The sequence below is a fragment of the Homo sapiens genome, chromosome 9, assembly GCF_000001405.40.
Source record: "Homo sapiens chromosome 9, GRCh38.p14 Primary Assembly".
Lineage (NCBI taxonomy): Eukaryota > Metazoa > Chordata > Mammalia > Primates > Hominidae > Homo > Homo sapiens.
Window position 1 is genome coordinate 63,053,457 of NC_000009.12, and position 13,802 is coordinate 63,067,258.

The 13,802-nt window shown below is 41.4% G+C and overlaps 1 pseudogene, besides 1 other annotated feature; it reads left to right on the plus strand.

Moving 5' to 3' along the window:
* On the plus strand, positions 2,185–5,761 carry BMS1P9 (BMS1 pseudogene 9; annotated as a pseudogene).
* Positions 12,264–13,128: an enhancer, noted in NCBI's record as "OCT4-NANOG-H3K27ac-H3K4me1 hESC enhancer chr9:66970692-66971556 (GRCh37/hg19 assembly coordinates)". NCBI's record gives its function as "activates a minimal SCP1, AML or CMV promoter by ChIP-STARR-seq in primed H9 embryonic stem cells {active_cell/tissue: H9 hESC(primed)}" and the evidence as "EXISTENCE:reporter gene assay evidence [ECO:0000049][PMID:30033119]".

Here is a 13,802-nt window from a genome sequence, read left to right on the forward strand (position 1 = left end):
GTGTGTACAGTTGATGGTGAGCATCTGAGTTGCGTCTTGTTAGTGAGGCCAGGAGTGCCTGTGTAAGCTGGAACAGATTAGGTATATGATTTGTGAAACGGAGTTTCATCCTAGATCTTCATCTAGTCAAAGGACTGTTTCCTGATTAGGCATTAGCTTAGTGGTTGCTAGTCTGTGTTGACCTTTGAAAGGCATGACTAGGCTAACTCTGAAGTTTCTGCTTCACACCATTTACAATTTAAAATTACCTAGAGCCTTGTGGGCCATTGGAAGAGACTGAATGTTTCACTCTGAAATGGGAGTCCTTGGAGGGTTTTGAGCAGAGGAGAGACATTCAGGTAATCAGATCACTCTGCCAAGACATCAGTCCGGTAGAGATCAGTCCGGTGGCACAAACCAGAGGGCTGGCAGTGGAGATGAAACAAAGAGTCAAACCCGGATAGAGTTTATTTGGAAGCTGGGTCAGTAGGATCTCCTGGTGGACTGAATGTGGGGTGTGTGAGGAAATGAGGATGGCGACTGGAAGTTCCTGGAAGGATGGGTTGTTGCAGGTTAGATAGGAAACTGTCTGCAGATGCAGTTTTGGGAAGATGATGTTTGTTTCGGCTGGGTATCATGCAGACAAGCGGAGTGTCAAGTCTGGAGAGACAGGTCTGGCCAGGGACTTAGATGTATAGCCCTCAGCATGTAGATGCCACTTAACTCTGTGAGGTGGCCGGGGAGTGAGTGCAGAGTGACTGGGAGGAGCAAGACTGGCATGGGCGAGATGGGGCGATTGCGGCCGTGAGGCCTGAGCAGTGCCTAGGAGGGAGAGGGAGAAGCAGTGTGAGCCTGCAGGCACGCAGGAGTCCAGTTGTACACGGAGGCGAAACACTGTTCAGATCCCGCTGCAGTGTTAACTATGGTAAAGGCAGAGTTGACCACCGGAGGAGTCCTTCAGCGTGGAGGCCTTCAGCGATCTTGGCAAGCACCAATTTTCATGGATGTAGGAGAATGGGAGCAGAGGAACTGGAGGCTGCAACTGTGGAAAACTTTTGTGGGGTTTTGCTGCAGAGAGAAGCAGAGAAATGAAGCAGTTTTTGGTGGAAGAAGTGGAATCAAAAGGTTTTGAGATGAGAGAGAGAACAGAGGGAAGAGCTGTTGGAATAAAGTCCAGGAAGAGTGGATGGTGTCTAGTGAGCAAGTGATGTGTGGCCCTGAGTAGAGGCATGGACAAATCATCTGTGCCTGAGCTGCCCGTAGAACTTTCTGTGATCATGGAGATGCACATCTGTGCTTCCCAATATTGTAACACTGGCCACAGGTTGATACGGACCACTTCCAGTGTGACTAGTGTGATTGAGGAACTGCATTTTAAATATTATGTAATTGTAATTAATTTTAATTTAAATAGCCACACATAGCTCCTCTATGGGGCAGGTCAGAGCTCTGATAAGGCTGGATATGGGAGGAAACCCTGGTATAGGGTTGACCGTAGAGGTTCTTTTGGTTTTGGAGTGAATCAGGAAACAGCCATCAGCTGAGTGAAGGTGAGGGTGGTGGTGGGTGTTTGAAGACAAGGGAAAAGTGTGAAAGAATTATTTGGAGAGGAAGGAAAGAAAGTGTGGACTGGGGATGTTTCTAATGTTTGAGCACGCAGGGCTCCACAGTTATCTACATTTGCTGTCCCTTGGAGCAGGAGAGAAGAAAATGGTTGGGACATATTCTGAACAGACTGTAGAGGTAAAATGTGTAGGGTTTTTTTTTGTTTTTTTGTTTTTTGAGATGGAATCTCGCTCTATTGCCCAGGCTGGAGTGCAGTGGCACGATCTTGACTCACTGCAACCTCCGTCTCCCAGGTTCAAGCGATTCTCTCACCTCTGCCTCCTGAGTAGTTGGGACTACAGGCACGCACCACCATGCCCAGCTGATTTTGGTATTTTTAGTAGAGACAGGGTTTCACCATGTTGGCGAGGCTGGTTTCAAACTCCTGACCTCATGTGATCTGCCCGCCTCGGCCTCCCAAAGTGCTGGATTACAGGCATGAGCCACTGTACCCGGCCAAATGTGTAGTATTTTTAATAGGATAAAGCCTACATAATTCTGTCCACAGTTCCTTTACTTAGAAATTGCTCATTTGTTCATGTTAATCCTATGTTTATTACAAATAACAGCATACAGGTTTCCACCCCCCCCCCACCCCATCATGTACAGCTGAATCACGTAGAATTTGAAGATCAAGATGATGAAGCCAGAGTTCAGTATGAGGGTTTTCGACCTGGGATGTATGTCCGCGTTGAGATTGAAAATGTTCCCTGTGAATTTGTGCAGAACTTTGACCCCCATTACCCCATTATCCTGGGTGGCTTGGGCAACAGTGAGGGAAATGTTGGACACGTGCAGGTGGGTCCCTTTGCTGCGTATTTGGTGCCTGAGGCTCTGTGGATTTCCCCTCCATCAATCATCTTACCCTCTCATCCCCTTCAGATGCGTCTGAAGAAACATTGCTGGTATAAGAAAATCCTCAAGTCCCAAGATCCAATCATATTTTCTGTAGGGTGGAGGAGGTTTCAGACCATCCTGCTCTATTATATCGAAGACCACAATGGAAGACAAAGGCTTCTAAAGTATACGCCACAGCACATCCATTGTGGAGCAGCCTTTTGGGGTAAAATATGATTACAATAACTTGCCTATTGCCGAGATTAAACTTTACAGGCTGTGTTATTTTAGCTTTGTGCTTTTCCTTTCATAAAATTCCACTCCTAAGATGTTTCTCTTTTCTGGGAGCGGGGAGGTGGTTTGGAGTATATATGTACATCTATATCCAAATCTAAGTGTCCATATCCAGTATGTTAAACTAGAATCTAAAATTTCTGGTTTGCTATATTTCTTTTTTTCCTTTTCCTTTAAGACCCTATCACTCCACAGGGAACTGGTTTCTTGGCAATACAGTCTGTCAGTGGCATAATGGTAACTATCTTGGACGATTTCTTTTACAGATTGGTTTGAGAAATATATCCTGAATGTGGGTTATTATGTACATGAGACTTTAAGTTGAAAATTACTCATTTTTATTAATATAAAGTAAATTTCCCTTTGCTTTTAATCTTCGTACATCCTTTTCAGTAGGGTGTGGGATTAGAGGAGGGGAGGTGGAAGAATTATAATGGTACATTTCCTATTTTTATGCATCTTTTGCATTTATTTATCCAAGCAAGTATTTAAGCAGTGCTCACCATGTGCTAAGCACTATATGAGGTTATGAGGAGCCATCAGAGACCACCCAGACACAAGACTCCCTGCAGCTGTGCTGGGGTAGCAGTCTGTTCACTCCATTTTCATTTGACCAGTCAGGCAGGGCAGGGTTTACTGGTCCCATTTAACAGAGAAGAAAGCAGAATAATGAGCAGATGGAATCTTCCCTGGAGGTCCAAATTTTAATTTCCTAAACATTGCAACTGTATTTTTCTTTTCCATTTCGTTCCAAATAAATCATTATAGTAAAATTACATTCCTCTGAAATCACTCTCAGGAAAGTACTCAAGTAGCCTTTTTTTTTCTTTCTTTTTTTTTTTTTTTTTTTTTGAGACCGAGTCACACTCTGTCTTCCAGGCTGGAGTGCAGTGGCACGATCTTGGCTCGCTGCAACCTCTGCCTCCTGGGTTTAAGCGGTTCTCCTGCCTCGGCCTCCCGAGTAGCTGGGATTACAGGTATGCACCATCATGCCGAGCTAATTTTTGTATTTTTAGTAGAGACGGAATTTCGCCATGTTGGCCAGACTGGTTTCAAACTTCTGACCTCAGGTGATCCACCTGCCTTGGCCTCCCAAAGTGCTGGGATTACAGGTATGAGCCACTGTGCCTGGCCTCAAGTCACCCTTGTTAGTTTGGCTTACCAACTTTAAAGTTTTGGATTGCTTTTGTCAAACCAATGGGTTGCAAGTTCAGATGGTCTCTCTTGTTTTTCTTAACTAATTGTAAGTAAAATTCACTTTGGTAATTTATTGTGTCACATAGAATTGAAGTTTTTCTCTTGCTAATATTATTCCTATTTTCAAATTTTGGGGCTCCTGTTAGCCTGATTTTCGGATAGCTGCCACAGGAGTTGTCCTTGATCTGGATAAATCCATAAAAATTGTGAAGAAATTAAAGCTAACTGGTTTTCCATATAAAATTTTCAAGAACACTTCATTTATTAAGGTCTGTATATCTATATATTCTCATATTTATAAATGTCCATATTGTTTGAGAAAAGGAATGAAATACCTCTAAAATGTGGGCCTCTTATTTTTAGAAAAGTGTTTGAAATCTTTTATAAACTTCATATTTTGTTTGCTCCTTTATATTCTGTATTACTTAAATATGCTCAAAAAAGCAGTGGTAAACAGCTATTTAGGAATTGAGGCTGTTACTCCTGACTTCCATGTGAGACTGCCACAGAACTCATATTGAAAATATGTCATTTTATCCACTAGGTTTTGTTTCCTACTTTTTAAATTGGTGTTAAGAAAGGGAAAAAAATCACAAGTTTGTCTAACTCAGTAGAAAAATCGACAAAGCATTTGCAGACAACTTGGCAAGGGTACAGAGAAACGGATATACTGTTTTTCGGTATTTTGGGAGGGTGGTTTGAGCAGCATTTATTGACAATTTCATTAGTGGGGATGTTTCTTTTGAAAACAGAGTTAGGAAGTCATAAAATGTTCTTGCAATATAAGGTAATAATACCACTGGCGTTTATCTTACTGTTTTCATGTTCTAAGTGCATGCATCTGAGTAAAAGGATCTGGGCTGCAGTCCAGTCTGAGAGATGCCAGCAAAGGCTTCCTAGGCCAATTCAGTCCAGTAAATCCCTCTTCGATCTTCTCTTCCACACAGACAGCAGTGATGAGCATGCCCATGAACTCACATGATTATTTTGGGGAAAATGAAAGAGTTGTATTCTTTTTGAGGTAGTAATTCCACTTTCAGGGGCAAATACATTTTGATTATTTTATCACCCTTCACTGAGTTGTTTTTGTTCTTTAATCACGGATGTATGTTTGAAGTAAGAAGTAAAGCATAAAGTATATGATTTTGTGTGTGTGTGTGTTTTTATCTTGCTATACCTGTAGGGAATGTTTAATTCTGCCTTGGAAGTGGCCAGATTTGAAGATGCTGTGATTCGAACTGTCAGTGGGATAAGGGGGCAGATCAAGAGAGCACTCTGAGCTCCAGAAGGAGCTTTCCAGGATAGCTTTGAGGATAAGCTGCGGATGAGCGGTGAGTGTCTTAAGTAGTGTTCAGGGCAGGGTGTTACCATTCATGCTTGACTTCTAGCCAGTGTGACGAGAGGCTGGAGTCAGGTCTCCAGAGAGTTGAGCAGCTCCAGCCTTAGATCTCCCAGTCTTATGCAGTGTGCCCATTTGCCTTGTGTCTGCAGTCCCCTGGCCACACCCAGTAACAGTTCTGTGATCTATGAGAATAGTTTCCTTAGCGAGCTTTCCCTTCAAATACTTTGCAGCCAGGTAGAGAAGTTTGGAGTGAAGATTTTGTTCTTTGTTTCTTCACAATATGGATATGAATCTTCTTTTGAAAACGTTAAAGTAAATTACCTCTTTTCAGATATTGTCTTCATGTGAACTTGGTATCCTGTTTCCATCCCAGCCTTCTATAACCCAGTAACATCTTTGTTGAAACCAGTGGGTGAGAAAGACACCTGGTCAGGAATGTGGACCACGGGCCAACTCAGGCTCACCCATGGTGTCAGACTAAAGACAAACAAGGACTCTCTGTATAAGGTACTGGTCGTGTGTGTGTTAGTGGAGATGAAGCCTGTGCTCTACAGACAGGGAGTCACACAGACACTTTTCTATAATTTCTTACATACTTTGAATGTTCAAGTATAAAGTCTAATGTTAAATTTGATTGAACAATTGTATATTTGTGGGATATTTTGGAATGGAACACCAAAAAATGGTAATAGTGGTTCTTTCTGGATTGAAGGAAAACTTTTCTTTTTTAAAATAAATTTTATTTTATATATTTGAGGTTGACAACATGATCTTAAAGGATACATATAGATAGTAAACTGGTTACTATAGTGAAGCAAATTAACATAGCTACCATCTCACATAGTTAGATTTTTGTTTGTGTGACAGGAACAGCTAAAATCTACTTATTTAACAAAAATCCCAAAGACAATATATTTTTATTAACTATTGCCCTCATGATGTACACTAGATCTCTAACTTGTTCATCCTACATGTCTGCTACTTTGTATTATTTTAATGTACATCTCCCCATTTCCTATTGGTCATTTCCTATTTGGCCCATTTTTCAACTGGGTTGTTTTTCTGCTCTTAAGTTGTAAGAGTTCTTTACTGATTTTTGGATATTAACACTTTATCAGATATGTGGTTTGCAAATATTTCTTCCAGTCTGTAGGTTCCCCTTTCATTTTGTTGGTTGTTCCTTTGCTGTGCAGAAGCTTTTTAGTTTGATGCAGTCCTCCTTGTTTATGTTTACATTTGTAGCCTGGCTTGTGGTGCGATATCCAAAAAATTATTGCTAAGGCCAATGTCAAGAGGCTTTCCCCCTATGTTTTCTTCTAGGAGTTTTATGGTTTCAGGTCTTATTTGGGTCTTTGGTCTTGTATCTGTTTTGAGTTGATTTTTGTGTATGGTGTATGATCAGGGTCCAATTTTATTCTTTTGCATGTGAAAATCCTATTATTGAAGATACTATCTTTTTTACCATTGTGTTGTCTTGTTTGCCCTTGTCAAAAATTAGTTGACAGTATATGTTTGGATTTATTTCAAAGGTCTCTGTTATGTTCCATTGGTCTATTTTTTTGTTTTTATGCCAGCACCATACTGTTTTGATTACTATAGCTTTGTAATACAATTTTAAATCAAGAGGTGTGATGCCTCCAAATTTTTCTTTCACAGTTTTCTGTTGGCTGTTTGGGGTTTTTTGTGGTTCCATATGAGTTTCAGGATTGTTTTTTCTTTTCTTTTCTTTTTTTTTTTTTTTTTTTTTTTTTTTGAGGGGAAGTCTCACTCTGTCACCCAAGCTGGAGTGCAGTGGCATAATCTCGGCTCACTAAAACCTCTGCCTCCTGGATTCAAGCAATTCTTCTGCCTCAGCCTCCCAGGTAGCTGGGACTACAGGCACATGCCACTATGCCCGGCCAATTTTTGTAGTTTTAGTAGAGACAGGGTTTCACTATGTTGGCCGGGCTGGTCTCCAACTCCTGACCTCATGATCCACCCGCTGCAGTCTCCCAAAGTGCTGGAATTACAGGCGTGAGCCACTGTGCCTGGCCAGGATTGTTTTATTCTGTTCTGTGAAGAATGTCATCAGAACTTTGATGAGGATTGTGTTAAATCTGTATATTTGCTTTGGGTAGTGTGAACATTTTAACAATATTAATTCTTCTGATCCATAAACATAGGATGTCTTTTCATTTGTTCATGTCTAAATTTCTTTCATCAATGTTTTATGGTTTTTAAGTGTACACATCTCTCACCTTCTTGGTTAAATTTATTCCTAAGTTTTTGTTTTTCTTTGATGCTATCGTAAATGAGATTATTTTCTTGATTGCTTCATCAGCTAGGTTATTTGTATACAGAAATGCAACTGATTTTTATATGTTGAGTTTATACCTTGCAGCTTAACTGAATTGATTTAGTAGCTCTCACAGTTTTTTGTGGACTCTTTGGAGTTTTTTACGTAAAGGATCTTGTCATCTGCAAATAGAGATAATTTTACTTCTTTAATTTAGTTGCCTTTTTTTTCTCATCTGATTGCTCTTGCAAGTACTCTGTTGAATAAAAGTGATGAGGCTGGCCATCCCTATCTTGTACTCAATCTTAGTGGAAAAGCTTTAGTTGTTCCCCACTAACTATGATTAGACTGTGGGTTTTTCATAAATGGTGTTTATTATGTTGAGGAACTTTCCTTCTATACATAAACTATTAAGAGGTTTTATCAAGAAATGTTGCTAAACTTTGTTAAATGCTTTTACTGCATCAATTGAGTTGACCATGTCATTTTATCTTTCATTTTGTTAATGTGATGTATCACATTGATTGATTTACATATTTTAAACCAGCCTTGCATGCCAGGGATAAATCCCACTTAAACACGATGTATAATGTTTTTGATGTGTTGTTGAATTCTATTTGCTAAAATTTTTTTAGGATGTTTGCATCAGTATTTAATTTATTGGAGAAGTTGACCTGTAGTTTTTGTTCGGTGTGTGCGTGTGTGTGTGTGTGTGTGTGTGTGTGTGTGTGTGTGTGTTTTGGTTTGGCTTAGGTATTAAGGTGATACTGGCCTGGTAAAATGTGTTTGGAATTATTTCCTCTCACTCTGTTTTTGCGAAGAGTTTAAGAAGTAAACTCCCAGGGGATGGGAGTGACTCTGGACATGGGAGTGACATGATAGTGACTCTGGACCCTGCAGTGGTGGGACACAGCAGCATCTCAGTCTCTGAAAGGCCAGGCACAGCATCAGCAAGGACCCCAGAATGGTGGAGCACTACTGAGCCCTCGGGGGCAGGGACCAGTACAGCAACTACTTCTCTCCCTGGGGAGGCAGGTGCCTGGGCAACTCAGATTCTCCAGGGCTAGTCCAGTTCCAAGGAAGCAGGGTTCTACAGTTGTTTGTCCTGAAGGGCAAGGTACCCCAGTTCAGCCAATGCCGTTTTCCTGGGATATGGGGGTGCCATGTTGGCTCATCCCTGGCAGGTGTGGCTGCTCAGCTCAGCCAAGACACTGATTCCCTGTGAAGCAGGGCAGTGCTTCAGCTCTCATGCAGTGGGGGGTGTGACTGCTTAGACTGGCCAAGACACTGATTCCCTGGAAAGCAGGGCACCAAGTCAGCTCAGGCTCCAAGGGGCAGGGCGCAATGGCAGCTGGGAGGGGAGGGGCACAGCAGCGTGGCCCCGCAGGTGGGGTGTGTGCTGTGATGTGGACATCATTTGTTCCCACCAGCCATTTGAAATTTCATCCATTTGAAATTTGATTTCAAATGTGGTGGTGTGGGAGGTGGGGCCTAGTGGGAGTTATTTGAGTCACAGGGCAGATCCTTTATGAATAGATTAATGCCTTTTCATGGGACTGGATTAGTTACCAGGAGTGGATTGTTATCAGAGTGAGTTCAGCTTCCTAGACTCTTGTGTTTCCTCTCTTGCCATGTGAGCCCCTTGCATACACCTGTTTCGCCTTCCACTTTCCCCATGAGATGAAGCAGCACAAGACCCTCACCAGTTGTGCTGCCCGATCTCGGACTTTTCAGACACAAGCAGGGTGAGCCAAATAAACCTTTTTTATAAAATAAGTTACCCCGAGTCTCAAGTATTCTGTTACAGCCACACTAAATGGCCTAAGACAGTGTAACAGCGGCTCAGGGGTGGTGGGCCACTAGGTGGGTGTGATATAGAGCAACAAAGCCTGAGGATGGAAGAAGGGTGCGGTGGCTGCTCACCCTGGGTGGGACATGCTCCCGAAGTGGTCCAGGTCCAGGAGGGCACGTTGCAGCAGCAGCTGGTCCATGGGGGTGGGGCACAATGTCAGTTCCTTCTCTGAGGGGAGTGCTGGGGCTACTGGGCCCCTCTTGCTTCCTTATTCCTGCAGGGAGACATCCCCTCTGCTTCAGGCTGATCCCTCTGGGGGAATGGGTGGTGGGGGCCAGATGTTTCCTTCCCTCCTTTATGTGACCGTCCTGTTTTCCGGGCTCTACTGGATTTCTGCTACTCCTTGATGCACTCTGGGGCTCTCCTTTAGTGACTTTCATCAAAATATAGCTGTTTGCTGCTTTGGCTGTCTTTGTCAGGGGATGAGTGCAAGGGGCTATTGATCAGCCCTTAGCTGGCATCACTCCCTCTTAAACTTTTCACTGGATACTCTTTTGAACTGTTTTTTTCCCCCACCATATACATGTATTTTTTAAACGTTAATGTGCTAATTTCTACTGAAGCAATGTGGATTTTTCTGAAAGCTTTAATGTTTTAATAAGCTTTTTATTGAAATGTTAATGTACATACAGAAGAGTGCCCGAATCATAAGTGTGCATCTAGATGAACTGTAGCACACCAGGCTGCCACGCCCTGGACCAAGCAGTAGCCTTGACCTGTGGCCTCTCCCAGGCACTGCTGCCCCAACCCACAAAATAGCTACTTTCCCAGTTCCTGATGTAGATTTGTTCTGCCTGGTTTTGACTTCTATAAAATACAGCACATTCTATTTAGCCTGGCTTCTTTGGTTCAGTATTACAGAACACATCCATGTTCTTGTCTATGGCAGACATTGATTTATCGTCATTGTTGAGTTCCATTATATGACTGTGTCACCATTTTTCCATTGATGAGTAAAATGATTTCCTATTTTTGGCTGTTATCCCACAGCCCTGAACAGTAGGTCTGCATATGGGACTTGCAGGTATGCAGGGGCACACCCACTTCTGCTGGAGGATCCCTGGGTGGGGTGGAGACTCCAGGGCACCTGTGCTCTGCTTCAGTGTGGAGGCTTCTGTGTTGTGTTCTGGGAGCACAGTGGCTTGGCCTCCGCCACCAGCAGCAGCTTGAAGAGTTCCTGCTGTTCCACATGCTTGCCAACAATTGGCCTCTTCAGTTTTTTTTTTTTTTTTTAGGTTTTCAGTGCCTGCCTGGACTTGTGTTTTCATTTAGATTTTGGTTTCTTAGAACTTTCGTTATTCTCTTCACAGCTTAACAATGCATTTGAAAAGATTTGTTTTCATGTGGAGTATTCAGTTTTGTAATAGGAGGGTTGTTCAAGGCATCAGTCTGCCACTCTGCTAGAAACAGAATTCTCCCAGGCATTTCTTTTTATATAAAGTAGTTAATGAAATTTTGAACCATCTTACATGAATTTTTATTAAAATACACTTCAGGATGTGGTGCCCATTATCCATTCTACTCTTTTGTAACGAGTAGATTTCTCTGAATTCTTGAATTTGAAAACAATTGGGGTTCCTAAACAGAGAATATGGAATATTATTGGGGATGATGTCTTTAATAATACATCTCAAGATAGGAGAAACTTTTTCTATATAGTTGACTTTAATAAAAGCCTAGGGCAAAACTTTCAATATATTAACAGTATTTATGAGGCAGTTAAGAATTTGGGTCATCTCTGTCTCCACTAAAAATACAAAAAGTTAGCCAGGTGTGGTGGCGGGTGCCTGTAGTCCCTGCTACTTGGGAGGCTGAGGCAGGAGAATGGTGTGAACCCGGGAGGTGGAGGTTGCAGTGAGCCGAGATCATGCCACTGCACTTTAGCCTGGGCAACAGAGCGAGACTGCGTATCAAAAAAAAAAAAAAAAAGAATTTGGGTCATCTCAATTAAACATAGAATTTAAGATTACATTGAAAATTCAGTACAGAGTATTTTGCCTTCATCTGTTGTTTGAGTCTCCCTTCTTTCAGCCATCCTTCCATCAGAAATAGAATACCAAGTTAAACTTCTTAATTAGAATCAGGAATCAGGACTCTTTGGCTGCTGATTGAAGGAAGAACTGTCCTTAAATCCAGAGTGGGCCGGGCATGGTGGCTCATGCCTGTAATCCTAGCACTTTGGGAGGCCAAGGCAGATGGATCACCTGAGGTCAGGAGTTCAAGAGCAGCATGACCAACATGGTGAAACCCCATCTCTACTGAAAATACAAAAATTAGCCGGGCATGGTGGTGTGTGCCTATAGTCCCAGATACTTCGGAGGCTGAGATAAGAGAATTGCTTGAACCTGGGAGGTGGAGGTTATGTGAGCCAAGATCACGCCACTGCACTCTAGCCTGGGCGACAGGGCGAGACTCCATCTCAAAAAAAAAAAAAAAAAAAAAAAAATCCAGAGTGGTTGGTAGTCAAGACAAAAAGCTAGATTATTTTTGTTAGTCTGGGAACTAAAAAAAATAGTTGTAACTTTGAAGCCTTTTTATGGATCAACATGAAGATTGAGGGATCTCAAACAGAAAGGGCATCCTGGTGGCAAAGGTTAATCATTACCAGACTGCAAGAGTAGTTTCAATGGCAAGAAAGCAGCAACAGAATCAATGAAAACAAAGCAATGATTAGAATGCCCTTTCCCCTTCTCCTCCTGACTTGTAGACACTGATTGTCTTCCTTGGACTTAGGGAACCCCTTAGGTTCTTGAAAAATTCAATGATCAGGCTATAGTAGATGGTCCCCAGTACACAGCACAAGATTTTTTGATAAACTGGACATTTTGAAACCCAAATAACTAATTAGAAAAATCAAACATGTGAAACTACTTTATCCCATGCATAGGGGTTATACTGGAAATAAAATGTACAACATTGGAATCCTGAAGGAGAAAAGTCCTAAAAGTTTCAATATCAAGAATCCTGCACCTGCTGCTACTTATCTAGCCTTTTGCTTGATTTCTGGCTGATGAACTTGCACAACTCTTGAAAACTTAAAAACTTGAAAATTTGTCACTTGAAAACTACTTGAACCAAACTATGAAATCTCACCTGATATATGAGATGCAATTGTTACAATTATTTTAAACTTCAATTTACTGTTTTGCTCTATCAAAAGAAAGTTTCAACTCTGTTAGTTGAGTACACACATCCTAAACAAGTTTCTGAGAATGCTTCTGTCTAGTTTTTATGGGAAGATATTTCCTTTTTCACCTTAGGCCTCAATGCGCTCCAAATGTGCACTTCCAGATACTACAAAAAGAGTGTTTCAAACCTGCTCTATGAAAGGGAATGTTCAACTCTGTGACTTGAATGCAAACATCACAGAGATGTTTCTGAGAATGCTTCTGTCTAGATTTTATATGAAGATATTCCCGTTTCCAACGAAATCCTCAAAGCTATCCAAATATCCACTTGCAGATTCTACAAAAAGAGTGTTTCAAAACTGCTCTATCAAAAGAAAGGTTCAACTCTGTCAGTTGAGTACACACATCACAAACAAGTTTCTGAGAATGCTTCTGTCTAGTTTTTATGGGAAGATATTTCCTTTTTCACCATAGGCCACAAAGCGCTCCAAATGTCCAGTTGCAGATACTACAAAAAGAGTGTTTCAAACCTGCTCTATGAAAGCGAATGTTCAACTTTGTGACTTGAATGCAAACATCACAAAGATGTTTCTGATAATGCTTCTGTCTAGATTTTATCTGAAGATATTCCCGTTTCTAACGAAAACCTCAAAGCTATCCAAATATCCACTTGCAGATTCTACAAAAAGAGTGTTTCAAAACTGCTGTATCAAAGGAAAGGTTCAACTCTGTGAGTTCAGTACACACATCACAAGGAAGATTCTGAGAATTCTTCTGTCTAGTTTTTATGGGAAGATATTTCCTTTTTCACAATAGTCCTCAACGCCCTCCGAGTTTCCATTTGCAGATTCGACAAAAAGAGTGTCTTAAAACTGCTCTGTGAAAAGGAATATTCAACTCACTGAGTTGATTGCAAGCACCAAAAAGAAGTTTCTGAGAATGCTTCTGTCTAGTTTTTATGTGAAGATATTCCCGTTTCCAATGAAAGCTGCCAAGCTATCCAAATATCCACTTGTAGATACTACAAAAAGACTGTTTCAAACTGGTGTATCAAAAGAAATGTTAAACTCTGTGAGTTGAGTACACACATCACAAAGAGGTTTCTGAGAATGCTTCTGTCTTGTTTTTATGTGAAGATATTCCTGTTTCCAACAAAATCCTCAAAGCTATCCATATATCCACTTGCAGATTCTACAAAAAGTGTGTTTCAAAACTGCTCTATCAAAAGAAAAGTTCAACTCTGTGAGTTGAGTACACACATCACAAAGAAGTTTCTGAGAATTCTTCTGTCTA